Consider the following 26184-nt stretch of genomic DNA (forward strand, 5'->3'; position numbering starts at 1 on the left):
CAACCTCTCAGCTGATGTGAAGGGCTTGAGAAGGACAGAAGCTTGGGGAGGAGTCCACTGGTCAAAGGGGAGGCGCCATCCAAGCAAAGGAACAGAATGTGCAAACGCTTAGAGGCAGGAAAGGGTGAGGGGGTGAGGGGTCTTGTGGGCCGGCCAGGCGGGAGCAGGATGTATCCTGAGAGCACAGTGGGCACTCCGGTCAGAGATGCACATGGATGAGACAATCCTGCGAGGGCCAGGAGTCCAAGACGAATTGTGAAGTGCAAAGTGAAGTTGCAGAGAACTGAGTGTACTGTGACCCTATTTGTGGGTTGACAGGTTAATCCTATTTGTTTCTAAAAGATATATGAGGCCAGGGACAGTGGCTCATGCCTGTAATCCCAGCACTTTGGGAGGCTGAGGTCGGAGGATCGCTTGAGCCCAGGAGTCTGAGACCAGCCTGGGCAACGTAGCAAGACTTCGTCTCTACCAAAAAAATTCAAAAAAAGTGACTGTACCATCCCATTAAAAAATTGAGACCCGTGCTTTGTCCACTTTGCGTATACCTGCAAGGACACAAGCCAAGTCCTCACGAGCCCCGGACATAACCCGCATCCAGTCTGTCTCACATAAAAACTGGCAATTAGGGGTTCACTCCTCTGTTTCACCCACTAGTTGATAAATTCTCTGGCGGGATAGAGTGGGTGTCGGTGATGGTCTGTTGAATGAATTCATTATTTAAAATAGAGATCTCTTTGGAAAACACAGGATATACGTTGGCTGTAGCCAAGCTTCACTGATCGTAAAGATAGGAAAGCAACGATGTAGCGTGGAGCTGGGCTTCCCACGGCCTCCACTGGGAGACGCGAGGAGTGTGTGAGGAAGAGAGGAGAGAGTCTGAGAGAGGGAACAGGGAGGGGCCTGCATTGCAATGGGCAAGGTGCAGTGAGGCAGCTGCCAGGCCTCTACAGTTAGGGTGCCCGTGGAGGCCCTGCCGACCAGCACAGAAGGGAGTCTGCTCCTGGAGCCTTTGCCTCCGTTCTGCTCTCTCTCCCTGCAGCGGCCGCTGCCTCCCACCCAGCTCGGCTCTCCTTTGGAGGACCAGGCACTCCCCACTTAAATGACCCCTGCCTCCTCCACGCTGGAGCCCACAGGCCAGTGGTTCCCAGAGTGCTCCTCTTGGCTGGCCACTTAGCCTGGATGAGATCATTAGGACCAATCCGTCTCCATGTATGCATATGGCGATCATATTTTTTCAAACCAAAAATTAGGATGCACATTCTGAAAACTGGACAGAATGTTCAAAATCTGAGCCCTGCTAGAAAGTCTAAGCTGGACTGATGTCATAAATACACGGGCATGTGGAAACGGGAGCCTGGTAACCAAAATGAATCTCCAGGGGTGATCAGTCTGGGGAGGTGCCTCAGAGCACAGGAAATGGGGTGTTGCCCTCCCCACAGCCCCCCAGGCTGCTCTGATACCCAGTCTCTCGCCCGTCCCTTCCCTTCTGGACTTCACCCATCTCCATTCTGCCTCTGGATGTGTTCCCTCCACCCACGGGGTGAGGATGCAGTCTAACTCCCTGATACCCTCGGCCCTGTCTCGGGGTTCGCCTTATTGACTTGATCGCCCTAACTTTATTCACCCTCTTTTACTTCTCATCACAAAAAGAGCTCAGATCATCTTGTACTGGCCTCTATGTTTGAATGGCTGCTGTCTACTTCTGTTTTGTCTGTTACAACTTGCACGCGCCACGCACACCTCCACCACGACAAGCCACATGCTTTTCCCCAGAGCCCATGCCTCATCTGTCCCGGCCTGGCTCAGGCTGCCTCATCTATGGCTCCCTCCTTTCCTGGCCAGCCCAGGCTTAGGCCTTACGATTCAGTGTGGGGGCCACCTCCTCCAGGGAGTCCTCCTTAAAGGGATCTTTTCCTTGTGCCTCCAGAGGATGCTCCAGTTCCTTCGACAACAGCCAATTACTATGAATATGACTTGTCTGTTTACCATCTGTGTCTGGGATTAGACCGAGCTCCCTGGGGTGGGGCTGGTAGCTTTCATCCCCAGCATTTAGCACAGATTCTAGCACATAGTAAGTGTATAACACTTGTTTGGTGGGTGAATGGATGAGGGAATCAATGAGGGAATGGATGAACGCGTTTCAAAGTCACTGTACCATGGGTTGTCATGCTTCTTCTCCACCAACATCCACCTCTTGTCAAAAGGGTCTCCTTAGCCTTCTGCCAGCAAAGTGTCCACGGGGGTCCCTCAGGGAGGGAGGAAGCCCCATCCTCCCCACATGCCTCTCCCTGACCAATGCTGGGTCTGCAGAGGGAAATGCTCTGTGTCCCTTGGGCTGACTGGGACATGACCTACACCAGGACTCACACCCACTTGGGCTGCGTGGTTGGGAGCAGGGGAGGCCTAGAGAAGCCCAGCGCCAGACAGTCACGGTTTACCCGGAATGACTCCTTCAGCCTCCTAGGGAAAAGCTTCAGGCATTCTTCTGCGGTGATAAAGTGGCTGTTCACGTAACTTTTTGAAGGAGTTGGAGGCTGCGGCGGAGTGGTTTCCGGCCCTCTCATTGGAGGATCTGGAACAATTACAAAGATCGGGGTTTCCATTAGTGCCCATCAGCTTCATTCCTTCTTTTTTTTTTTTTTTTTTTTTTGAGACGGAGTCTCGCTCTTGTTGCCCAGGCTGGAGCGCAGTGGTGCAATCTCAGCTCACTGCAACCTCCACCTCCTGGGTTCAAGCGAGTCTCCTGCCTCAGCCTCCTGAGTAGCTGGGATTATAGGTGTCTGCCATCACGCCTGGCTAATTTTTGTACTTTTGGTACAGACAGGGTTTCATCATGTTGGCCAGGCTGGTCTCAAACTCCTGATCTCAGGTGATCCGCCCGCCTCAGCCTCCCAAAGTGCTGGGATTATAGGCGTGAGCCACCACACCCGGCCCACTGGCTTCATTTCTACATCAACACTTTATCTCTGCCTGTCCCGAATCCTGTTAAAATCCCATACAGTACCCTCCTGTGAGTTGAACACAGCATTGATTTTCTTACTATCTAGTTTCTTTTCCTTCAGTTTCTCAGACACTTTCCTCCTCTTCCAGGAGGAACCATGCTGCAGACTGTGGGGCCTCCTTTCACCCTCACAGACCGCACTTGGCACCCTGTTTACTTGTCCTGTGTCTCTTGTTCATCTCCCAATTCCCAGAGGAGGAGAATGAGAATTCCTGCCTCTTTTTTGTTTCCTGGAATCATGTCCTAAAGACAAGAATATAGAATTCATTCAACATCCATTAGTTCAGTGGCTATTTCCTGACTGTGTATCTGTTAAGTAAGATGCTGAGGGCTTCATCTATTTTTTGGTCCTTCCAGCAACGCTCAGGAGAAGGTCCTCGTGTTTGTTTACACACAAGAAAACCTATCATCCCATGCACTTTACCTAGGGGGTGGTGAGGCTCAGGGGTCCCCGGCTCGCCTGGGAGGTGGAGCTCATGGACAGCACAGCTGAATCCAGGCTGTCTGATACTAAGACCCGTTGGTTCCCTACTGCCTATGCCCTCTCGCTCCCCTAAAATTAAGGAAGGAAGTGTAACCTCTCCTTAAAAACTCCATGTCGGCCAGGCACGTTGGCTCACGCCTGTAATCCCAGCACTTTGGGAGGCCAAGGTGGGCGGATCACAAGGTCAAGAGATCGAGACCATCCTGGCCAACATGGTGAAACCCCATCTCTACTAAAAATACAAAAATTAGCTGGGTGTGGTGGTGCACGCCTGTAGCCCCAGCTACTTGGGAGGCTGAGGCAGGAGAATCACTTGAACCCAGGAGGCTGAGGTTGCAGTGAGCTGAGATCATGCCACTGCACTTCAGCCTGGTGACAGAGTGAGACTCCATCTCAAAAATCAAAAACAGGAACAAAAACAAACAAACAAACAAAAAACTTCCAGGTCTACCCCGTTTCCATTAGGCTGGGGTCATCTGAGTGTGACCTTGTGTCAAAGCCAGGCTACACACCAGGGACTTGGTTCCAGACGTGGTTCTCTGCACCTGTTGCTCCTGCGCCCTCCCCACGGTGTGGTGGGCAGATGGATGGGGGACAGGGCGCCCCAAGCTCGTGGGCATCCTCTGCCCCTCTTGAGCCTGGCTTCTGCCTCACCTGCCTCACTGCAGAGGCTGCAAGTGGCCTCCCTCTGGTTCCTTACTGCCTGGCAGATAAACACCCCCACCCCACCGCCTGACCCCTCTGCCACATCCCCCTGACCCCTAGCAGGGGCCACACAGGGCCTCACTCTCCACCTTGCTAGAATCTTCATGTGTGAGAATGCAGCTTAGAGGGGCAAGGAGGAGACGGGCAGGGAGAGGAGAAGCAGGAAGTGAGGGGAGGAGAACACAGGCAGCCAGGAAGCCGGGAGCAGGTGACAGAGACGGAGTCCAGTTCCAGCTGTGACGGCCTCGCCAGCACTGGGACGTGGGGCAAGTGACCTATGCACCCTGGGCCCCAATTTCCTTACCTGAAAAATGAATACACCTGGCAGGTGGGACACACTCACTAAAATGCAGGTGAGTTCCTTCTCCTTCTTATTTTCCTTAAAAAATATCAAAACATCTACCCAGGGACGGTGCTGAAATTCTAAAACGCTCTGGCTTCTCATGATGCCATTTTTCAGGAGTGTGGGACCTCTCTAAGGGGTGGCAAATGACAGTCTGACAAGGCTAGGGGGACCTTGGCAAGGATCCAGCCTGAGTCTCTGGGAAACTCACCACCTCACACGGTCATCTCCAGACCCAAGGCTGGGAAAATGAAAAATGCACAGGGCTCCTGCATTCCACCCTGCCAGCCTGCAGGGTATGTGCAGCAAAAGAGAAGAGTATTCCATTGAGATATCTGTGTGATTTCTGCAGCTTCTCTAGAGGGCTTGTTTGTCCACCAAAATGTCTTTGGTGTGTGAGAAAGCAGCATCACTGAGTGGAGAGGCGGCCCCAGGACACTGCACAAAGATGGGTTTCCTAACATCCGGTGGGGGGCGGGCCTGGGGGTGGGGCTGGGTGGCCTTTTATAATCTCTGCAACCTTCTCTGTCCACAGGGAGGAATAATATTCGTGTTGCCTGTGTGTGGTATTGTTAACTACAGATAACCAGCAACTACCTTAGGGGAAAATCTTAAAGGCCGTGAGGTGTGATTGAAGAAACAGGCTTTGGGGCACAAACTTTCTAAACCATTTGTGTTCTGAGTTTGTAGAAGACTCTTTCAGGCAAAGTTCTGCACTCACAGTTCTGAATATGGTCAGATAAAATGAAATAAAAATGGTTGTTTGCAGCCCCAGAAGACACCTCGTTTCAACATCTCAGCTTGTGCTACTTCAACCCGAGTGGCCTGGTGGCACTGCTAGCAAAGACATGCAGTGTCACCCAGGACGCATCCCACAGGGTGTGGACTTGGCCATTAGCTACCTTCAAATCCTGCTGCAAAATCAAGATAGCTCATCCCTTCCTTCTCGAAGCCTATTTTAGTGGTCAGCAGGGCATACTGATCATCGTCCATGGGCATCCCAGTGTCTTCCAGTACCTGACGAGGGAGACAGGGGAGGGTGGAGAGGCGTTAGGTGGTCCGCGGGTCACTACTCCCAGAGCACCTCCTGCCCCTGTGCTGGCTCACAGCAGGGCTCATGATTGTTATTTGTCTGACCCCACCCACAGGCTGCCAGGGGGTGGGACCGAGTCTCCTGTGTCCCTGGGCCTTGCACAAGGCTTGTGTTTGTTGGGTGAGTGAGTGAACGAAGGGACAAGTGGCACAGTTGGCATGGTGCTCAGGCCCACAGGTGCCACTGCAGACTTTTCCAAGCCGTGCCATCCAAGATACCCAAAGCCACACTTGTCACTGCCATGGCTTTAGAGTCTCATACATTAGGTTTATGTTCACATAGATTCAAGAAAACAAAATAAAGCAAGCAAGGTAGTTTGAGGAGGGAAAACTGAAGTTTTCATTCAAGTTTCATTATGCTCCCAGTTTACATGAAAAGCGGCTGTGTTTTTTTAAATGGGGGTGGCCATCCATGAATGCTCTTTTTTCTTCTCCATATGCTAGTCCACTTGCTGAAAGTTATCCCTGATTCCTTCCCTCCAAACACATGACCTACTGTTTCAGTTTTGGGTATGTTGGGGGCAGAGGGAGCACCCAAGAAAACACTCTTCCCTGCCTTGCAAATACTGAAGTGGAATCGTCTCGATGACATCTCCCTAGGAATTACAGAAAAGATGATGCCCTTTGGCCAAAAACCCAGACAGAGCTGCCTGCGTGGATGTGAGCCACCCACAGAAGGGATGCTGGGTGGATAGAGGCAGATGGAAGGCACCACCTCTGCTGATCTCAGAGTATTCACAATCCAAATGGGAAAACATGGGTTTTCCTTCAGAAAAGAACACAGAATCACAGTTCTAAATGCATCTATGGGCCAAGGGGCCAAAGACGTCCAGGATGACCAATCCCACCCGGAACAGGGGACGGAAGGCTTTCTAGGAGAACTGGGTTTGCCGATGGGTTGTGAAGAAAGTGTGTTGAGGGGTGAGGAATACACAGGTTATCATCAACAAAGTCAACAGATGTCACCAGAAGCCAGAGTAAGTTCCAGGTGGTGGAGCAGTGCAGCGGTGCTCACTGCATTCAGCGGAAGAGGCGGCTGGGGAGGGAACGGAGGGACCAGGTAAGGCCGTGCTGCAGTGTCGCCCTCATCATGGTCACTGCGCAGCACCCCTTAGTGCCCGTGTGTGCCAGGCACTGTGTGGGGCTCTGTACAGGCTCCACACGGATCTCATTTAATCCTCAGCAGAAGCCTCAAGAAAGGCACTCTTTCTAACCTCATTTTAATGCTGTGCAAACTGAGTCTTAGGGAGTTTGGGTCACTTTTCTTAGACATATGAATAGAAAGTGGCAGACCTGGGGTTCAAACCCAGTTCTTTTCTTTTTTTTTTTTTTTTTTTGAGACAGAGTCTCACTCTGTCACCCAGGCTGGAGTGCAACGGTGCTACCTAGGTGCACTGTAACCTCTGCCTCCCGGGCTCAAGTGATTCTCCTGCCTCAGCCTCCCGAGTAGCTGGGACTACAGGCACCTGCCACCACGCCCAGCTAATTTTTTGTATTTTTAGTAGAGACGGGGTTTCACCATGTTAGCCAGGATGGTCTCGATCTCCTGACCTCGTGATCCGCCTGCCTCAGCCTCCCAAAATGCTGAGACATGAGCCACCACGCCCGTCCTCAAACCTCATTCTTCTTATTAACCACTGTGATGAGATCTACTTTTGGAGTAAGGTCACAGGGGCCTGGACAAAGAAGAGAGGAGATGAAAATGGACAGGAAATGGCCCAGGGGGAGCGGCAAGCAGCTCTGCCATGGAGCCCTGGTGTCTTCCCTGTATCCAAAGAGGCCACATAGGCAAAATCCAGTCTGAGCCTTTGTGGAGCCTGAAAGGATGGGAGGCCTCTAAGGAGCTGCCCTGAGCCCACCTCCCACCTGCCTCCCTATCTCCCCAGAAAGGCTGTCAGGAGACGGTTTCTCCTGCCTCCAGGTTTTGATAGGGTGAGGGGCTTTCTGCCCGGCCCCTCACACTAGAGCTGTAGAAGGGAAGCCTCTTGGCTGCAGTCTGGACGTGGTTCTTGGCAATAGGGCACTCCACACCTTGTGGCGCAGTCATCAGCTTCCTTTGTTTTGGTGTCATCCTTTTTGGTATTCGGGAAGAGGACCAGGGAGCTGGCCCCTGTGGCTTATTCTCCCTTTCACTGTCTATGTAAATAACAGACAGTCTGATTGTGAAAGTGTGCGCTGTATCTACGCTGGTCCAATCAGTCAGGCCTGGCCTTGGCTTCCTGCGTGTGGAGGTTAACAGTAAACAGGCTGTGTGTGGCTAGTGCCGGGCCAGCAGGTGAGAAAAAAGGGAAGGGATGGAAGTGTTGCAGTGCTGCCCAAGGAGACCGAGGCGGGTGGCAACGCAGGAGTACAAGGCTATCCCCAGGGCCTGCCTGTGGAATTCGGCAGGAAGCACGTGATTGGGAATGCTGAGAGTTCTGTGCCATCTGCACATGGTCCCCGGCCCAGCTCTGCAGAGGAGCCTGTCCCAGCACAGGATGGCACTGGTGTTCAGGTAGAAAGCCGTGGCCCCCGCAGAAGCACACACAGCCGCGGTGAGCCTCTGGTTGCTTGCTTTGAAAAAAACTTTATATTTTGAAAACAATTGCACATGAATTATTCATGGCAAACTCTTCTTGCTCAGTTCTTTCACAAAACCATATGTACTGGATCGTAAGGAAATGTCTGCAGGCAAATGTTCCCCAGCCTAGAGGGCTGTGAGGTGCCAGGGAGATTCGTACTATCCCCCAGGCCCTCAGCAGCCTGTCCAGCGGTCGCAGGAGCGTAATCCCCAGGGGCACGGAGCACCGGAGCACCGCAGAGAACACAAACGCTGCAAGTGCCATTCCCAGAAGAGGCTCAGGGCAGGCCACAGATGCAAAGGCCTCTGATGCCTCTTCCGAGGCTCCCCTTGCACCACTTTCATTTCTAAGATGAACACAGCAGCAAATCAACCAGATTTATCATGACCCTTGGAGGCGACATACAATAAGAAGGAAGGCTCACCAGCAAAGTTTATAAAACAGATTTAAATGTTTAACCATTCAAGTCATTTCCTTTGGTCTTTTCTAGGAGGCATTCCCCTAAGAAAGTTGCTCAAAGACTGACAAACTATGGTCGGGCATGTGTTGATTTACCAGATAGTCGTCACTCCGGCCATCCCTGGGGCATCCCTTAGATTGTAGACCGACTCTTCCCCAGGAGGTCACAACATTTCAGGGAACCGTTGCTGGGCCCTCTCTGTGAAGGAAGACGCCCTGAGAGCGAGCCCAATGATGAAAGTGAGGACTCAGCCTTTCTAAACGCAACCCCTGCACAACATCCTGTGAGAGAAGCAGCCACCAGTTTGTGTGTGTGACACTTGTTTGCTATGTCTCTTTGCAGCACTTTTTTGGTGGTTTCTATGTGATTACACTATACATTCTGAACTTTTCACAGTCTATTTAGACTTAATATTATGCCACTTTACATAGAATGTAGAAACCTTGCAACCTTATAGAGGTCTCCTGCACCCTGTTCTTTTTTTTTTTTTGAGACGGAGTTTCGCTCTTGTTGCCCAGGCTGGAGTGCAATGGTGCGATCTCGGCTCACCGCAACCTCTGCCTCCCGGGTTCAAGCTATTCTCCTGCCTCAGCCTCCCGAGTAGCTGGGATTACAGACATGTGCCACCATGCCCGGCTAATTTTATATTTTTAGTAGAGATGGGGTTTCTCCATGTTGATCAGGCTGGTCTCGAACTCCTGACCTCAGGTGATCCGCCCACCTCGGCCTCCCAAAGTGCTGGGGTTGTCCTGCACCCTGTTCTGGTATAGTTGACATTTGTTTCACATCTAAATATGTTATAAATCCCACAAGACAATGCCATGGTTTTTGTTTTGAATATTCCTATGCGGTTTTTAAATGAAGAAAAATAACAGCCTTCTATATTTAATCAGCAATTTACCATTTCTAATGTTCTTTGTTCTGTCATGGACAGCCAAGTCTTCCTAGTATCAAATTCCTTCATCCTGAGAACTTCTTTTAGCCTTGCTTGTAGCGAAGATCCACTTGCAATGAATTATCTTAGCTCTTGTTTTGTTCAGTTTGAAATCATCACCTTCATTCTTGAAGGAGACTTTGGCTGGGTATAAAATTCTGGGTTGGGAGGTTTACGTTTGGTTTTGCTTTTGCTTTTTTCCTTTTTCCTTTCCATATGTTACTGTTCCACTATCTTCTCACCTCCTCCATTGTTTCTGGTGTGAGGCCAATGGTAATTTAAAATGTTGTTTCCCTGTTTGTAATGTGTCATTTTTCTCATGCTGCTTTTAAGATTTCTCTCTTTGATGTTGCTTTTCAGCAGTTTGTCTGTTATTTTCTTTGTAATATCCTACTTGGGGTTTTCTGAGCTTCTGGAATCTATATTAGGGCTTTTCACCAAAATTGGGAAATTTTAGCCATTATTTCTTCACATATATCCTCTTCCCTAGTCCCTGTCTTTTTTCCTTTTGTGATTCCAATTACACCTATGTTAGACCTTTTGATATTGTTCATATGATTGTGAGACACTATTCTCTCTTTCTCTCTCTTTTAAAAAATTTTTCTCTCTCCTCTTCAGTTTGTATAACTATTAATCTATCCTCGGGCTCATTGACTTCTGTCATCTTCATTCTGTGGTTGAGCTATGTGGTGAATTTTTTGTTTCAGATATCTTATTTTTCAGTTCTAGAATTTCCATATGGTTCTTCTTATAATTTCTATTTCTCTGCTGAGATTTCATATATTTTCATTCATTATGAGTATATTTTCCTTTGTATCACTGAGCATTTTTATAATGGTTACTTTAAAGTCTTTGAGTGTTAATTCTAACATCTGTTCATCTTAGAGTCTCTTAAGAAAGATCACATTTTTTCTGTTTCTCCAAATGTTGAATAATTTGGGGTTATATCCTGGACATTGTGGAGGTTATGGTGTGGGGCCTCTGGATTCTGTTGTAGTTCTCCAAAGAGTGACATGTTTTATGTCTACATATGTTATAAATCTTTATATCTATGTATTTTATATAAATCTATATATTTGGTTCATGTGTTCGAGCAGGCAGTAGGCTTGGTTGGACTCAAACTGAAAAAGTTTGAGTGTGTTGGGCTGCAGTTTAAATTTCAGTTCAGTTCTTGTATCCTTAGCTAGGTTACTTGCAATCTGTTCTGCTCATATGTGGTTTAGAGTCAGCCAGAGATTGAGGAAGAATCTATACACAAAAGCTGGAGCATCTACTCTCTGGATCTCTCCTTTTCAAAATGCCCCCTTTCTCCATCCCCATCTTTACTTTCAGGTAGCATTAGTTACCCAGACCTCTTCCCTCTGGTTCTTCAAGCCAGAAAGGCTATTAGTTTCCTCAAGTAAAAAGCTGTAGAAAATGGGAACTCACTCTTGCTATTCCCATCTTCAGGAGTTGACACCCTCCTGAATCTTCTTGCCTAGTCTAGTTTCATTTTCCAGGACCTTCAGGCATTTGGTTATTTAATAAATTACTGATTTATTGACTTACTTAACATTGTCCAGTGTTTATACTTGGTATCTCTGGGAAGGCTGGTCCAGTAGAAGCTTACATAGCCAAACTGGAAGCAAAACTCCCAGGAATACTTTCTGGGTGCTACAGCAAGCACATCCTTAAGATACAGGTATCAACAGCTCAGGGAGAGCCTTCTCGGTCCTCCCCAGCCTGGGTGACCAGAAAAAAAGTCTTAAGCTTCCATACCCCTTCTGTTTACTTCCATAGATAGTCCCTCGCACAGAACCTAACACATGGCAGGCACTCAACAAATTGCTATTGTGTAGAGAATTACCAACACTTCTTTTTCACTTCTATATGCCAAGAGCACATAGTAGGTGTTCACTAAAAGTTGAATAAGAAGAAGAGCATGGGATGTCAACATACGGAACAGCTGGCAACACTCATCAGGCTCTTGCTATTGTGTCTGGTTGAATCCTGAGTCTGACTAAGAAAGCCCATGCCTATGCAGATATGAGCACCAAGTGGTCATTCAGCTATGGCGAGGAAGGAGTTGGAATATTAAGAATACTGTGGACCAGGCACAGCGGCTCACACCTGTAATCCCAGCACTTTGGGAGGCTGAGGCGGGTGGATTGCCTGAGGTCAGGAGTTCAAGACCAGTCTGGCCAACATGGTGAAACCCTGTCTCTACTGAAAATACATAAATTAGCTGGGCATGGTGGCAGGCACCTGCAATCCCAGCTACTTGGGAGGCTGAGGCAGGAGGATCGCTTGAACCTGGGAGGCAGAGGTTGCAGTGAGCTGACATTGCGCCTTTACACTCCAGCCTGGGAGACAAAAGCAAAACTCCATCTCAAAAAAAAAAAAAAAATACTATGAGGCCAATAAAAGGATACTTTCCTTGTGAGACACACAAAAGGATCCAGGAGGAAAGGGAGACAGGACAGGGACTGTGAGGTGCCAGCTCCTCAACGGGTGGTGCAGACTTCAGTGTGGGTATCTCAGTGTGTGTGCTGGACCAGCCGTGGGATCCTCATCAGTCTTCTCTTAATACTACACTTAGCAAAGTTCTCTTCTGAAAATATCAGTTAAGGGGAGCCAAGGGAGAGATTCCTGTTTATATTTAAGCCAGAGATTTAAAGGATGCACCCTGAGGAGATTCAGGAGCATACAATTTGGAGACTGGCTTTTTTTTTGAGATGGAGTTTCACTCTTATTGCCCAGTCTGAAGTGCAATGGCACAATCTTGGCTCACCACAACCTCCGCCTCTTGGGTTCAAGTGATTCTCCTGCCTCAAGCCTCCTGAGTAGCTGGGATTACAGGCATGCGACACCACACCCGGCTAATTTTATATTTTTAGTAGAGATGGAGTTTCTCCATGTTGGTCAGGCTGGTCTCAAACTCCCGACCGCAGGTTATCCACCCGCCTCGCCCTCCCAAAGTGCTGGGATTACAGGCATGAGCCACCATTCCCGGCTGAGATTGGCTTTTTAGCCATCCCTCCGTGCCTGGAAACCTGTAGCCTAAATTCTTTTGTGATAAAACTAAAGAGAGTTATGGGTTTTATTTTTAATAAGTAATATTATTTTTATTTCTTTACATACCCATTCACAGACAACATGAAACAGGTACCAAAAAAAAAAAGTCTGCCTTGTCTAGAATTTCAGACATGCTCTGTCTCCCCACCTCCCCCATACCAGGGATCCCTCATCTTCCAGCTCCTCCCCCACCTATACACCACCTGCCACCACAGAGCTGCGTCATCCAGAATGCAGGCATGATCTGAGAGTTCCAGTCATCAAGGTTATCTGATCACATGCAAAGCAGGTACTAGGGAGAAGAGTACTATGGCTAGAAAATAATATGAAATTTTCAGAATAGGTCTAATTTGTACTTGAACGGAAAATTCAAACTCTTTTGGCAAATGCTTCCTAGCAACATCAGACACACGTCTGACTGTCCATGTGGCCCCAGCAAAACAGAATCTTCAAAGCTGATGCAAACTGGGGTGACAATCAAGACGCCATGGTCATGTGCACAGGCCGCAGGATATTGGGCTCAGGATGCTGTTGCCAGCTGTGAGTGCAGATAAATAATGGGATTTCCTTTTCAAGTCTTAACCAACAGGAATACTGTGAAGAACACCATGAATGGTCACAGGGCGCAGGGCATCTCAGATAAGAAGCCCCTTGCAGGAAAACAGTGACAGCCACGGTGTGCCTGATTACAGGTACACTTCTCAAGCACAGAGCCCACCAGGAACAGCATAGTGTCAAGAGCCAGAACTGGCTTCTGAGCCACAAACCCTCCTTCTGGCTCCAGACAGGAACGGAAGCTTCCCAAGGATCGCCACGAAAGAGCATTTGATTGAGGAGCTACCAGGGGCCGCCCCAGGACTGAATGACTTCCATCCCTCATTTAAACCTTGCAACAATGCCTCAACAGAAGTATGACCAACTCCATGTTCTAAATGAGGAGATCAAAGTTTAAAAAGGCAAAATAAGCCAACTGTTTTCTAGGAAGACACAAGTGGTAAGAAGTAGAGCAAAGATTTGAACACGAGTTGGTCGGACTCCACGGGACAACATTGTCTCATAGACTCAGCACTGGAAGAAATAACAGAGTATCAGGTTCAACTTTGTCCTTTACTGATGAGAAACCCAAAGCCCAGAGATGCAAGAGCCTGCCTCACGGTCACGTGTGAGCAATAAGGAGCCACTCAGGTGACTGCTGGGTGTGCTGCTGCCCAGGGAAGCCTGGGAGCCAATGACTGCAACCCAGCTCTGGCAGCCAAGGCTGAAGTGCAGCTGAGGCTCTGGCTGTACAAACAGCACATGATGCTGCTTCCTTTTGCACAGGCTCCTCACCCTGGGAGACGCGTTGCTCCCTATCAGTTGATCAGCCTGGCACCGTCCACAGAGGACACACTAGGTTTGTTTCTTCACCAACTGTTGTGTGCCGTATGTTTGGAACAGGTCTACAGCAGGGATAGGGTGTCTATGAGTCAGCAACTACACAACAAACAAGCTGAAATTCAGTGGCTTACAACAAAATAAGCATTTGTTCTTTTTTTTTTTTTGAGACAGAGTCTCGCTCTGTCACCCAGGCTGGAGCGCAGTAGCGTGATCTCGGCTCACTGCAAGCTCTGCCTCCCGGGTTCACACCATTCTCCTGCCTCAGCCTCCTGAGTAGCTGGGACTACAGGCGCCCACCATGACGCCTGGCAAATTTTTGTATTTTTAGTAGAGACGGGGTTTCACCATGTTGGCCCGGCTGGTCTCCAACTCCTGACCTCAGGTGATCCACCTGCCTCGGCCTCCCAAATTGCTGGGATTCCAGGCGTGGCTGCGTGCGGGTTGACTGGGCTTGGCTCCCAAATGCAGGTTGGATTTGGACCTGCTTTATGTAGATTCACTCTCGTGACCAAACGGAAGGGACAGAGCTGCCCTAGGCAAGCTCTTTGAGCAGGAGATGACGGGTGCACAGGCTTAGCACGTTCCAGGTCAAGGAAAGCCACATATTAGTGGTCAGGGGAGCACACGCCATCCACTGAGGGGTTCACGATGGGGAACAAGCAGGGAGGAGGTAACAGTGGTTAAGATGAGCTCTGCAGCCCTTTCGAGCTCTGAACCTCTGGGATTCTGTTTACTTTGGTAAAATGCTATGACCATTAGATCACAATTTAAATCACTCCCACAAATCCAGACATTTCTAGTTCCTAGGCTAAATCTTCTCTCTGATCCCCACATTAATTCTATTTGATCCATAGCGGATGGGACTGCACCACACTTCCAAAAACAATCCTTCCTCCAACCTTACTTAGTGCCTGACTCTAGGCCTTCAGCACAGACTGATGGTTTGCTAATAGCAATCACAAAGTCGAAAAATGTTCATGTTTTCTTTTCTTCTTTGCTGCTGGCATGATCATGACAATGAAAATGATGACAATGATAAGCTGGTTTGGTTTTTGTTTCTTAAATATATTATTCCCATAAAAACTAAAAGACTAGAATTGTGTTTAGATGGCACAGAATGACAAAATGCTGAACCTAAGTGCAAGCTTCAAAAACTGAGACTGAGTAATCTGAACCAGTTCTGCAAGTGACTGTGTTTTGTATTACTGTGAAAATAAGAAAATGTAGTTAATTGCAATTTAAAGAGTGTTCCACATAACTTCTTAATTTCTACATTCCCTCCCTTACTCTTCGGGGGTTTCCTTTCAATAAGCAACTTTTCCATGCTCTTAATGTATTCCTTTTTAGTAGGAATCCGGAAGTATTAGATTGAATGGAAAAGCACTTGCCATCTCTGTCTAGGGGTCACAAATTGAAATGGCTCCTGTATCACATACGGAGGTCTTGTGTATCTGTGGCAACAGGGAGTTTCCTTATTCACTCTTTATTTGCTGCTGTTTAAGTTGCCAACCTCCCTTCCCAATAAAAATTCACTTACACCTCCTGCCTTTGTAGTTCTGGTATTCACTTTACTATGTGATAGAAGTAGCATGTTGCTGCCAGAATACAAGCATTGCTTTTGGCAAATTAAAGTGCATGTCATTTCTTAATACACTAGAAAGAGGAAAAAAAGTACGCAAGTCCAAGTCTAAAACTTTAGTACTTTTCCATGCAGATTTGTGCACATGTGAGAGGGTGTCCAGTTTGTCTAGTGATTGTTATTTAGAGAGTTGGACCACTACTGTGTGTTGCTAATCATTGACTGTAGTCCCAAAAAAGCCTTGTGAAAATGTTATGCCCTATGTAACAGCAGAGTAACATAAAATAAAAGTACATTTTATAAACCATTTACTATGGCTTTGTAACAATTGCATACCCATATTTTAAGGGACAGGTGAATTTACTACTTTCTAAAGTTTATTGATACTTCCCTTTTATGTAAAATGTAGTAGTGATACGTATATTTCCGCATTGTGCATTGTGACACACTTGTCTAGGGATGCCTGGAAATGTATAAAATTGGACTGCATTTCTTAGAGTGTTTTACTATAGATCAGTCTCATGGGCCATCTCTTCCTCAGATGTAAATGATATCTGGTTAAGTGTTATATGGAATAAAGTGGACATTTTAAAACTAAAAAAAAAAACAAAAACAAAAACTGAGACTGAAAGATGAGGTGACATGACCACCTTTCAATGTCAAGGGGAATTCCAGGCATAACTAATGCATTGACCAGACATGTCCATTTTAGAAGCAAAGATCCAGAACCCAGCTTGGGTCTACATACACATGTAAAATCTCAGCGTGTTCTGCGGGCAGTGAATTTAGTACTTCAATGACAGATTTTGAACATGGCAGATAAAAGCAGACAAGTCGTGCCTACTTCAACTTCAGAGGAGACTGTGCTCAAGTCCTGGAGATCAAATCTGTCGTTCAAAGGGTAAGTGGGAAGAAACTCAAAGCTCAGGACAAATGGGCGCAACAGGAAAAGCCGATGCTAAGCAGCCACTTCCCCTGCAGAATCCCAGGGCTCTCTGTCACTCAGCCTCTGCACGCCTTTATGTTCTCTCTTGCTGATTTCAAGAGCAGATACATTTCCAACATATAAATGTAATGTAAGTCCAGTTATGATCCCAGTAATGCATCTGAGGGGTAATTGAATAAAATGATTTTAAAGTCTATATGGTAACATATAAACCTGGCCTGAGAATAGCCAAGAAAATACAAAAAGGAAGAACACTGAGAAAAGACCTGTTTTACTAAATTAAAGAGCCATATTGCATTTATATAGAAATAGATGTATAAATCAGTGGGATGAAAGTTTTCGGATGTAGACCCTAGCATAATGAGAATGTCATAAATGACAAAGGTAATAGTCTAATTCAGTAAGGAAATATAGAAGAAGAGCCCCATCTTACATCGAGTATAAAAATTAATTCCACATGGATTAAGCATCTACATTTAAAAATAAAAATAAATTCTCTGATAAAACAATGGGAAAGAGAAGTTCAGGCTAACTAAAATCAAAGAAATGCAAATTAAAGTAATGACTATAATTCTGACTGATATGTTAGCATATATTAAACTTTTTTATTCTACCCAAAGTTGGCAAACATTTGGAAATTAGTAACTACCAAACACTTGTGGTAGGAATGAATTTGATAGAATCGTTGGAAATGTAATATGGCAATATGCATTAAACATTTAACTGTGCATATTCTTTTGACCTAGACATTTCACTTGTTCTATAAGCAAGAAATTGTAATAATTTCAATGCATGTTCATAGACTGTAACAAATGTAGCATTCTGCTGAGAGGTGTTGTTAGTGGGGGAGGCTGTGCACGTGGGGACAGGGGTATACGGGAACTTTGTAGTTTCCACTAAATCTTGCTATAAACCTAAAGCTGCTCTAAAAACATTCTATACAAAAACAAATAAAATTCTTGTAAGAAAGTCTAGGAGACTGAGGTGGGGGTGGGGGTGGGGGATGAAGGAATAACACCTATTAACCATGGCTACAAACCTAGAATTTATTTAGGGAAAAAAAAGGACAATAGAAATATTTGGTTGTATAAAAACTGAAAACATTGTAATGGCAAAATATGGAACTATAACAAAACAAAAAGACATGATATATTTGGAAAATATATTTGTATTGAAGAAGACAAAGAGCGGATAAATTATTAATTAATTCTACAGATGTTTTGAGCATCTCTGACAGGTTCTATCCAGGAACTGGGAATACAATAGTGAACAAAACAGCCAAGTCCCAGCCCTCAGGTGCCAGGCCCTATTTTAAGGGTTATACATTGTTGTCGGTTGAATTGTGTACCCCAAAAGGTATAATGAGGTCTCAATCCTGGTTCCAGTGAATGTAACCTTTAATGGAGCTGGGGTCTTTTCAGTTGGAATCAAGTTAAGATGAAGTCGTGCTGGATGAGAGTAGTACCTCACCCAATGACTGGTGTCCTTAGAACAAGAGAGAAATTTGGACAGAGGCACACAGAGAGGAGAACATGATGTGAAGACATGCAGACAAAGAAGAAAGAGACCAAAGAGGCCATGTGGAGCCAGAGGCAGAGGTTGGAGCAACGCAGCTACAGGCCGAGGGATGCCGGATGGCAGGCAGCCATTGGGAGCTGGGAGAAACAATGCAGCGTGCTCCCAGAGCCAGCAGATGAGAGCATGGCTCTGCTGACACCTTGATTCCAAACTCCTGGCTTCGAGAACTGTGAAAAAATACATTTTTATTGTTTTAAGCTACCCAGGGTATGGTAATTTGTTATAACTGCCCTAGGAAACTATTAGTTTCCTAACCCTAACCCTATTAGGAAACTATTAGTTTCCTAAGGCTGTTGTAATAAATATATGTTGTAATAAATATATATTAACAAACATAAATATATATCATATGTATATGATATATATCCTCATTTAATCCTTCTAACAATCCAATGATGTAGCTACTACTATTATCTCCATTTTAGGAAAAAGGAAGCTGAGGCTGAGGGGTGTGCCCACACACAGGCACACAGTTATTAAGAAGCAGAGCTGAGCTATTCACAATAGCAAAGGTGTGGAATCAACCTAGGTGCCCATCAATGGTGGACTGGATTAAGAAAATGTGGTACATGCACACCGTGGAATACTACACTGCCATAAAAAAAGACTGAAATCATGTCCTTTGCACAACATGGATGCAGCTGGAGGCCATTATCCTAAGAGAATTTATACAGGAACAGAAAACCAAATACTGCATGTTCTCACTGATAAGTGGGAGCTAAGCATTGAGTACACAGACACAATGATGAGAATAACAGATACTGGGGACTACTAGAGTGGGGAGGGAGAAAGTGGGGTGTGGGCTGAAAAACCACCTGTTGGGTACTATGCTCACTACCTGGGTGGCGGGATTATTCATGCCCCAAACCTCAGCATTCTGCAAAATACCCACGTAACAAACCAGCACATGTATTCCTTGAATCTAAAATGTTGAAATTATTGTAAATAATAATAATAACGAAGAAGAAGAATCAGAGCTGAGATTTGAGCCCTGGCAGCCTAGCTCCAGAGTCAACATTTTTAGCCATAATGCCATGATACTTTATAAAATTGATTCATGCATTTGAAAAATACTTATTGAGCACTTACGATGTGCTAGGCACTGATTTAGATGCTAGAGATAGGGCAGAGGATGAGAAAGACAAAGCTCCCCATCCCCGCCAAGCTTACACATTAGTGAGGAGTGACTTGTGACTACAGGGGAAAGAGTGTCCTCAGGAAAGAACCAGGCTTGAGTTGGTGCAAACGAGCCAATGCCCAGAGAAGAGCTTTGGGAGCTGGGAGAATAGAAGACAGGGTCAGATTAAGAGGGATACAGAGCCCGAGGGGGAAAAAAGTCCCCGGGCTGAGAACCCAGAAGGTGAGGGAGGAACTGGGAGTCCTGGGATTCTTGTGAGAGCAGAGATAAATAATGATGTCCATCATAAGCACATAGGTTTTATAAATTGACAAGAGGGCAAAGGATGTAAATAGGCAACTCAAAGAAGAACAAATCGCAGTGGCAAATAATAATAATAAATTCACTAGTCAGGAAAATAAATGCAAATTAAAGTTTAAATGAGTTACCATTTTAAAACCATAAGACCAGCAAAAATTTAAAAAGCTATAATGCCTATTGCTTATAAAGGTCCAGAGAAAAAGATACTGTCATACACAGCCACTAGAAATGTGAAACATTACAGTATTTTTAAAAAAGCAAATAGATAACATGTTTAAAAATGTTTTTAAAAATCTTCAACCAAGAGTCTTACTCCTGGCATCCATTCCATACAAATGAAAGCATCAGTATGTAAGGACACATAAAGAAAGATTGTTTAAAGAGGAAAAAATATTAAAAATAAAAGAAATGAATGCCCAACAAAAAGAGAATGGCTAATGTTCTGCTTGTTGGAATATCTTGCAGATTTAAGCTTCCACTGAGAACAAATGAAAAAGACAGAAAAAATGCATCAAAACACCTGTTTGAAGCATAAGAGAGCTGCGGAGGCAACCAGGACCCAGAGGGACAAAAATCTGAGAGAAGGGTGAAGCTGGAAGAGAATGAGCCATTTGCTAATCTGGGAGCAGGGCAAGGGGCTCAGGACTGGGGCAGACGGCCCAGGCAGACAGAGAAGCAAGTAAAGTATGTGAGGAGCTCATGAAACTGGAGACAACAAAAGGAGAGACCCAAATGACTGGATTGCTAGTGAGAAAGAAAAATAAGAAACATGCCCAACACTCTGCCCCTTTTCCTCCCAAAGTATTTGGTGAATTCTTAAGCTGTGTGGGGCAGAAGACTAAGTAGGCAGGAAGCCTCTGAGAAGCAAAAGGGATTTTTTGGTCACCTTGTGGTCCTGAGGAAATAAGGACTGGAGTTCAGGACCTCCTGGAGGGGAAGGGGCAGGGCTCAGAGAATAACCCAGTGATATGGTTTGGCTGTGTCCCCACCCAAATCTCATCTTGAATTCCCATGTGTTTTGGGAGGCACCTGGTGGGAGGTAATTGAATCATGGGAGGAAGTCTTTCCCGTGCTGTTCTCATGATAGTGAATAGGTCTCAAGAGATCTGACGGTTTTAAAAAGAGGCGTTCCCCTGCACAAGCTCTCTCTCATTTATTGCCTGCCGCCATCCATGTAAGATGAGACTTCCTCCTCCTTGCCTTCTGCCATGATTGTGAGGCTTCCCTAGCCACATGGAACTCTAAGTCCAGTTAAACTTCTTTCTTTTGTAAATTGCTCAGTCTTGGGTATGTCTTTATCAGCAGCATGAAAATGATCTAATACAGTAAATTGGTACCAGTAGAGTGGGGCATTGCTGAAAAGATACCTGAAAATGTGGAAGTGACTTTGGAACTGGGTAACAGGCAGAGGTTGAAACACTTTGGAGGGCTCATAAGAAGATAGGAAAATGTGGGAAAGTTTGGAAATTCCTAGAGACTTGTTGAATGGCTTTGACAAAAATGCTAATAGTAATATGAACAATAAGGTCCAGGCTGAGGGGGTCTCAGATGGAGATGAGGCACTTGTTGGGAACTGGAGCAAAGGTGACTTGTTACATTTTAGCAAAAAGACTGGCAGCATTTTGCCTCTGCCCTAGAGATTTGTGGAACTTTGAACTTGAGAGAGATGATTTAGGGTATCTGGCAGAAGAAATTTCTAGGCAGCAAAGCATTCAAGAGGTGACTTGGGTGATGTTAAAAGCATTCAGTTTTATGAGGGAAGCAGAGTATAAAACTTCAGAAAATTTGCAGCCTGACAATGCGATAGAAAAGAAAATCCCATTTTCTGAGCAGAAATTCAAGCTGGTGGCAGAAATGTGCATAAGTAACGAGGAGGAGAATATTAATCCCCAAGACAATGGTGAAAATGTCTCCAGGGCATGTCAGAGGTCTTCACAGCAGCCCCTCCCATCACAGGCCTGGAGGTCTAGGAGGAAAAAGCAGTTTCATAGGCTGGGCCCAGGGTCCCTGAGCTGTGTGCAGACTAGGGACTTGGTGCCCTGCATCCCAGCAGCTCCAGCCATGGCTGAAAGGGGCCAATTTAGAGCTTGGGCCATAGCTTCAGAGGGACCAAGCCTCAAGCCTTGGCAGCTTCCACATGGTGTTGAGCCTGTGAGTGCACAGAAGTCAAGAATTGAGGTTTGGGAACCTCTGCCTAGATTTCAGAAGATCTACGGAAACGCCTGGATGTCTAAGCAGAAGTTTGCCCGCAGGGGCAGGGCTCTCATAGACAACCTCTGCTAGGGCAGTGCAGAAGGGAAATGTGGGGGCAGGGCCCCCACACAGAGTCCCTACTGGGGCACTGCCTAGTGGAGCTGTGAGAAGAGGGCCACCATCCTCCAAACCCCAGAACGGTAGATCCACTGAAAGCTTGGACCATGCTCCTGGAAAAGCTGCAGACACTCAATGTCAGCCCATGAAAGCAGCCGGGAGGGAGGCTGTACCCTGAAAAGCCACAGGGGCGGAGCTGCCCAAGACCATGGGAACCCACCTCTTACATCAGTGTGACCTGGATGTGAGACATGGAGTCAAAGGAGATCATTTTAGAGCTTTAAGATTTGACTGCCCCACTGGATTTCAGACTTGCATGGGGCCTGTAGCCCATTTGTTTTGGCCAATTTCTCCCATTTTGAATGGCTGTATTTACCCAACACCTGTACCCTCATTGTATCTAGGAAGCAACTAACTTGCTTTTGATTTTACAGGCTCATAGGCAGAAGGGACTTGCCTTGTCTTGGATGAGACTTTGGACTATGGACTTTTGAGTTAATGCTGAAATGAGTTAAGACTTTGGGGGACTATTGGGAAGGCATGATTGGTTTTGAAATGTGAGAACATGAGATTTGGAAGGGGCCAGGGGCAGAATGATATGGTTTAGCTGTGTCCCCACCCAAATCTCATCTTGAATTCCCATGTGTTTGGGAGGGACCTGGTGGGAGGTAATTGAATCATGGGGGCAAGTCTTTCCTGTGCTGTTCTCTTGATGGTGAATAAGTCACATGAGATCTGATGGTTTTAAAAGGAGGCATTCTCCTGCACAAGCTCTCTCATTTTTTGCCTGCCACCATCTACATAAGATGTGACTTGTTCCTCCTCGCCTTCCACCATGATTGTGAGGCTTCCCCAGCCATGTGGAACTGTAAGTCCAATTAAGCCTCTTTCTTTTGTAAATTTTTCAGTCTCAGGTATGTCTTCATCAGCAGCGTGAAAACGGACTGATACACCCAGGCTCTGAGTTAGAGCTTTTGAAGTTTTATGCCCTAGGAGCAGGAGTAGTTAAAAAAAACAAATGCTAACAGCCTTGCCAAAATTCAATCCAGCCTCAAATCCACCAGTCCCTTACTGGACTAAGGTTATGAGTCCCCACTCTATCTGCCTAGCAAAGCAGAGGATGACCTATTATCCAGAGCCTCTTAATTTTCTTAATAAATAGTATTTGATATTCAATAAAAATCTACCTGGCATTCTAAGAGACAGAACCATATAACCCAATATCCAGAAAGAAAAAAAAACAGACAATAGAAACAGATCTACAGGTGATCCAGATATTGGAAATACCAGAAAAAAAAAAGCTATGAATATGTTTAAGAGAATACCGGAGTATATTGAGACAAAAGAAGAAAAAAACACAGATACAAAATATGTTAAAAATAACCTAATGAGCATCCCACTACTGAAAAATATAATACTAAAATTAAGAACTCGGTGAGTACAACTAACCACAGATTGAAAAATGCAGAACATGGGATTAGCAAACTGGAAGGCAGATCAATAGGAAATACTGGGGCTGAAGCGCTGAAAGCAAAAAGATAGAAACTACACAAAAGAGTGAAGAGAGGCATGTGGGATCCTGGAAAGGAGTCCAGGGAGGGAGGAGAGAATGCGCATAACAACAGGAGAGGAGGCAGTGGCTGAGAATTTGTCACAACTGATAAAACACATTAACCTACAGATACAAGAAGAACTGCAGACTCCAGCAGGATTCATATAAAGAAAGCTGCATTGAGACTCATCCTAGTACAACTGCTGAAATCCAAAGACAGAGGAAAATCTTAAGAGCTGCTAGAGAAAAAAAAGACACATTATACCCAATAAGATACATGGTTGATTTATCAACAAAACTGATAGAAGACATAGACCATGGAACGGTATCTTTAAAATGCCAGAAGAAAATGATTGCCAACCTAGAATGTTTTTCCCAGCTAAAATATTTTTTAAAATAAGGGTGGACTTTTTGCTTTCACCTCTGACATGTAAACAGCTTGGAAGTCATCATTCCCATCCTTACAACAAGAAAAAAGACAAACTGCAAATTAATGACGTTTCACAGAACCATCAGAGAAACATAAAATCTGGAGAGAGAAATGAAGACAGAGAATCACAGCCATGATCAGCTTACCTGGAGCAGAAGCCACTGAGACCAGAAACTGGTAGGGATACCTAAGTGGTAATTTTGACAAATTGCTGGAGGCTGAGTGTGAATTAGCTTGAGAGGGAGCGATTTCTAGTGGCCCTGTCTTTGGAGGAAGGGGCAGGGGGAGGGCGCACTTTCATGGGCTTTCATGCCAGAAGTCCCATCAGGTTCTCAAGGTGAATATCCCCTAAAAATCCCCTTGGGTTTCAAACTCAGGCAAATTAAAGCCAAAGTAGGTAAAGTAAGTAGGAATAAAGAAATAATAAAGATAAAAGTAAAAATCAGTGAAGTAGAATATAGGCAAACAATAGAGGAAATCAATGAAACCACAGCTTGTTTTAGAAAAAGATCAATAAAAGTGATAAACCTCTAGCTAGACAAGTCACAAAACAAACAGAAAATATTTTAAAATTACCAATCAGAAGCGGAAAAGGGAAAAATCATTAAGGATCTTATACCTATTTAAAGGATAATGAGGCATGAGTCCATTCTAATATGAATAAATGGTTGAGTAAGTTAGTAAGTGGAAGAAAAGAGACAAATATCCCATGAAAAAGGATTCCAAATAACACCTGTTGTTGTGGCTTGAAAGAGCTGGAGCATTGTAACTCCCCACTTCTTCCCTGAGGGCTGTGCACCATGGATTTCTTCCAAAGACGAAAATCTTTCCAATAACGAAGAGGGGAGAAAAAGAATAACTTGACAGTAGTGAAACCTCTGCCAGGTGACAAAGTCAGGTAACACACTTCAGCCAGTGACAGGTTCAGCACCAACAGTGATGAGTCATATTAATAGCAGGTGCCCTTGACAAGATGTGATGAGAAGGGCACCCGCCTCTGCGGTCTTCCTTCCAAAAACACATTACCCAGTCTAATCATGAGAAAAATATCACACAAATCCCAATTGAGGGATGCTCCACAAAATATCTGATCAGTAATCCTCAGAACTGTCAAGGCCATCAAAAACAAGGCAAGTCTAGGAAACTCTCACAGCCAAGGGGAGCCTCAGGAGACATGAAGACTCAATAGAATGTGATACCCTAGATACGATCCTAGACAGGAAAAGGACATGAAGTGAAGAGGTAAGGAAACGTGAAGAAACCAGGGACACTTGGAGAGTGTTGCCAGTACATTTGCATTTAAAGTACAAAAGGGAGGTCTTTAGGCAGAATTTAAAAATGAGTCCAGGTGCAAACACAAAATGTGAGATGGAAAGAAGAGCAGCAAGAGTAAATATGTAGATTCATTTGACAAATTATTTACCATATGAAATAATAATGCCTGTGAGATTTAAAATACATGTGAGGCCAGGCGCTGTGGCTCACACCTATAATCTTAGCACTTTGGGAGGCTGAGCCGAGCGGATCACCTGAGGTCAGGAGTTCGAGACCAGCCTGGCCAACATAGTGAAACCCCATCTCTACTAAAAATACAAAATTAGCTGGGCGTGGTGGCAGGCACCTGTAATCCCAGCTACTCGGGAGGCTGAGGCAGGAGAATTGCTTAAACCTGGGAGGCGGAGGTTGCAGTGAGCTGAGATCATGCCACTGCACTCCAGCCTGGGCAACAGAGCAAGACTCTGTCTCAAAAGTAAATAAATAAATAAAATACATGTAAAATTAAAATGCAAAACAACTATCACACAAAAGAGAAGAGGGGCTAAAGGGAGTATTTTAAAAATCTAGCATTGTTAGGGAAGTGGTGAACAATGATTTCTATTTGACAACAGTAACACAGGCTGCGTGTCACAGTCTCTCATGCAGCTTCTATGAGACTAATATAAGAACAAAGCAACTCATAAGCTAATAGACAGGAAAATGAAATAACACAACAGAGCGAGACCCTGTCTCAAAAAAAAAAAAAAAAGTTGGATAATCCTAAAAGAAGGCAACAAAGGACAGAAGAAGAAACATGAGACAGCCGGGTCAAATAGAAAAAAACAAAAACATTACAATGACAGATATAAAGCCAACTATATAGATAATTAAATATGTATAGAACGGACCGAATACTTCAAGTGGAAGACTCAGACTATCAGACTGTATTTTTTTAATTGGCTATATGCTGCCCACAAGAGACTTGCTCTCAATAAGTAACCAGATAGTTTGAAAGCAAAAGGATAGAAAAGGATACGCCATGTGAACACTCATCAAAAGAAAGCCGAAGTGACTACATTATTA

General features: G+C 45.4%; 1 protein-coding gene and 1 pseudogene across 22 annotated transcripts in view, besides 3 other annotated features; one reads left to right on the forward strand and one right to left on the reverse strand.

Moving 5' to 3' along the window:
- EFCAB6 (EF-hand calcium binding domain 6) overlaps positions 1-26184 on the reverse strand; it is a 283528-nt gene that overhangs the window by 100889 nt on the left and 156455 nt on the right. For 21 of the 22 annotated variants that reach the window (XR_007067980.1, XM_047441462.1, XM_011530319.4 and 18 more), the window contains 2 exons: positions 5436-5550; positions 2439-2572 (listed from right to left, as the gene is read on the reverse strand). Coding sequence is in view for 21 of the 22 variants with exons in the window: in XM_047441462.1 (XP_047297418.1) it covers positions 2439-2572; positions 5436-5550 (249 nt within the window). In the remaining variant the exon portion in view is untranslated. The remainder of the gene's footprint in view (positions 1-2438; positions 2573-5435; positions 5551-26184) is intronic. The other variant, XM_047441464.1, reaches the window with a different exon arrangement.
- Positions 5189-5690: an enhancer, noted in NCBI's record as "H3K4me1 hESC enhancer chr22:44030735-44031236 (GRCh37/hg19 assembly coordinates)". NCBI's record gives its function as "activates a minimal SCP1, AML or CMV promoter by ChIP-STARR-seq in primed H9 embryonic stem cells {active_cell/tissue: H9 hESC(primed)}" and the evidence as "EXISTENCE:reporter gene assay evidence [ECO:0000049][PMID:30033119]".
- Positions 13818-14318: an enhancer, noted in NCBI's record as "H3K4me1 hESC enhancer chr22:44039364-44039864 (GRCh37/hg19 assembly coordinates)". NCBI's record gives its function as "activates a minimal SCP1, AML or CMV promoter by ChIP-STARR-seq in naive H9 embryonic stem cells {active_cell/tissue: H9 hESC(naive)}" and the evidence as "EXISTENCE:reporter gene assay evidence [ECO:0000049][PMID:30033119]".
- YWHAQP2 (YWHAQ pseudogene 2) lies at positions 15175-16192 on the forward strand (annotated as a pseudogene).
- Positions 21825-22325: an enhancer, noted in NCBI's record as "NANOG-H3K4me1 hESC enhancer chr22:44047371-44047871 (GRCh37/hg19 assembly coordinates)". NCBI's record gives its function as "activates a minimal SCP1, AML or CMV promoter by ChIP-STARR-seq in naive H9 embryonic stem cells {active_cell/tissue: H9 hESC(naive)}" and the evidence as "EXISTENCE:reporter gene assay evidence [ECO:0000049][PMID:30033119]".

The sequence above is a fragment of the Homo sapiens genome, chromosome 22 (genome assembly GCF_000001405.40).
Source record: "Homo sapiens chromosome 22, GRCh38.p14 Primary Assembly".
NCBI classification, from domain to species: domain Eukaryota; kingdom Metazoa; phylum Chordata; class Mammalia; order Primates; family Hominidae; genus Homo; species Homo sapiens.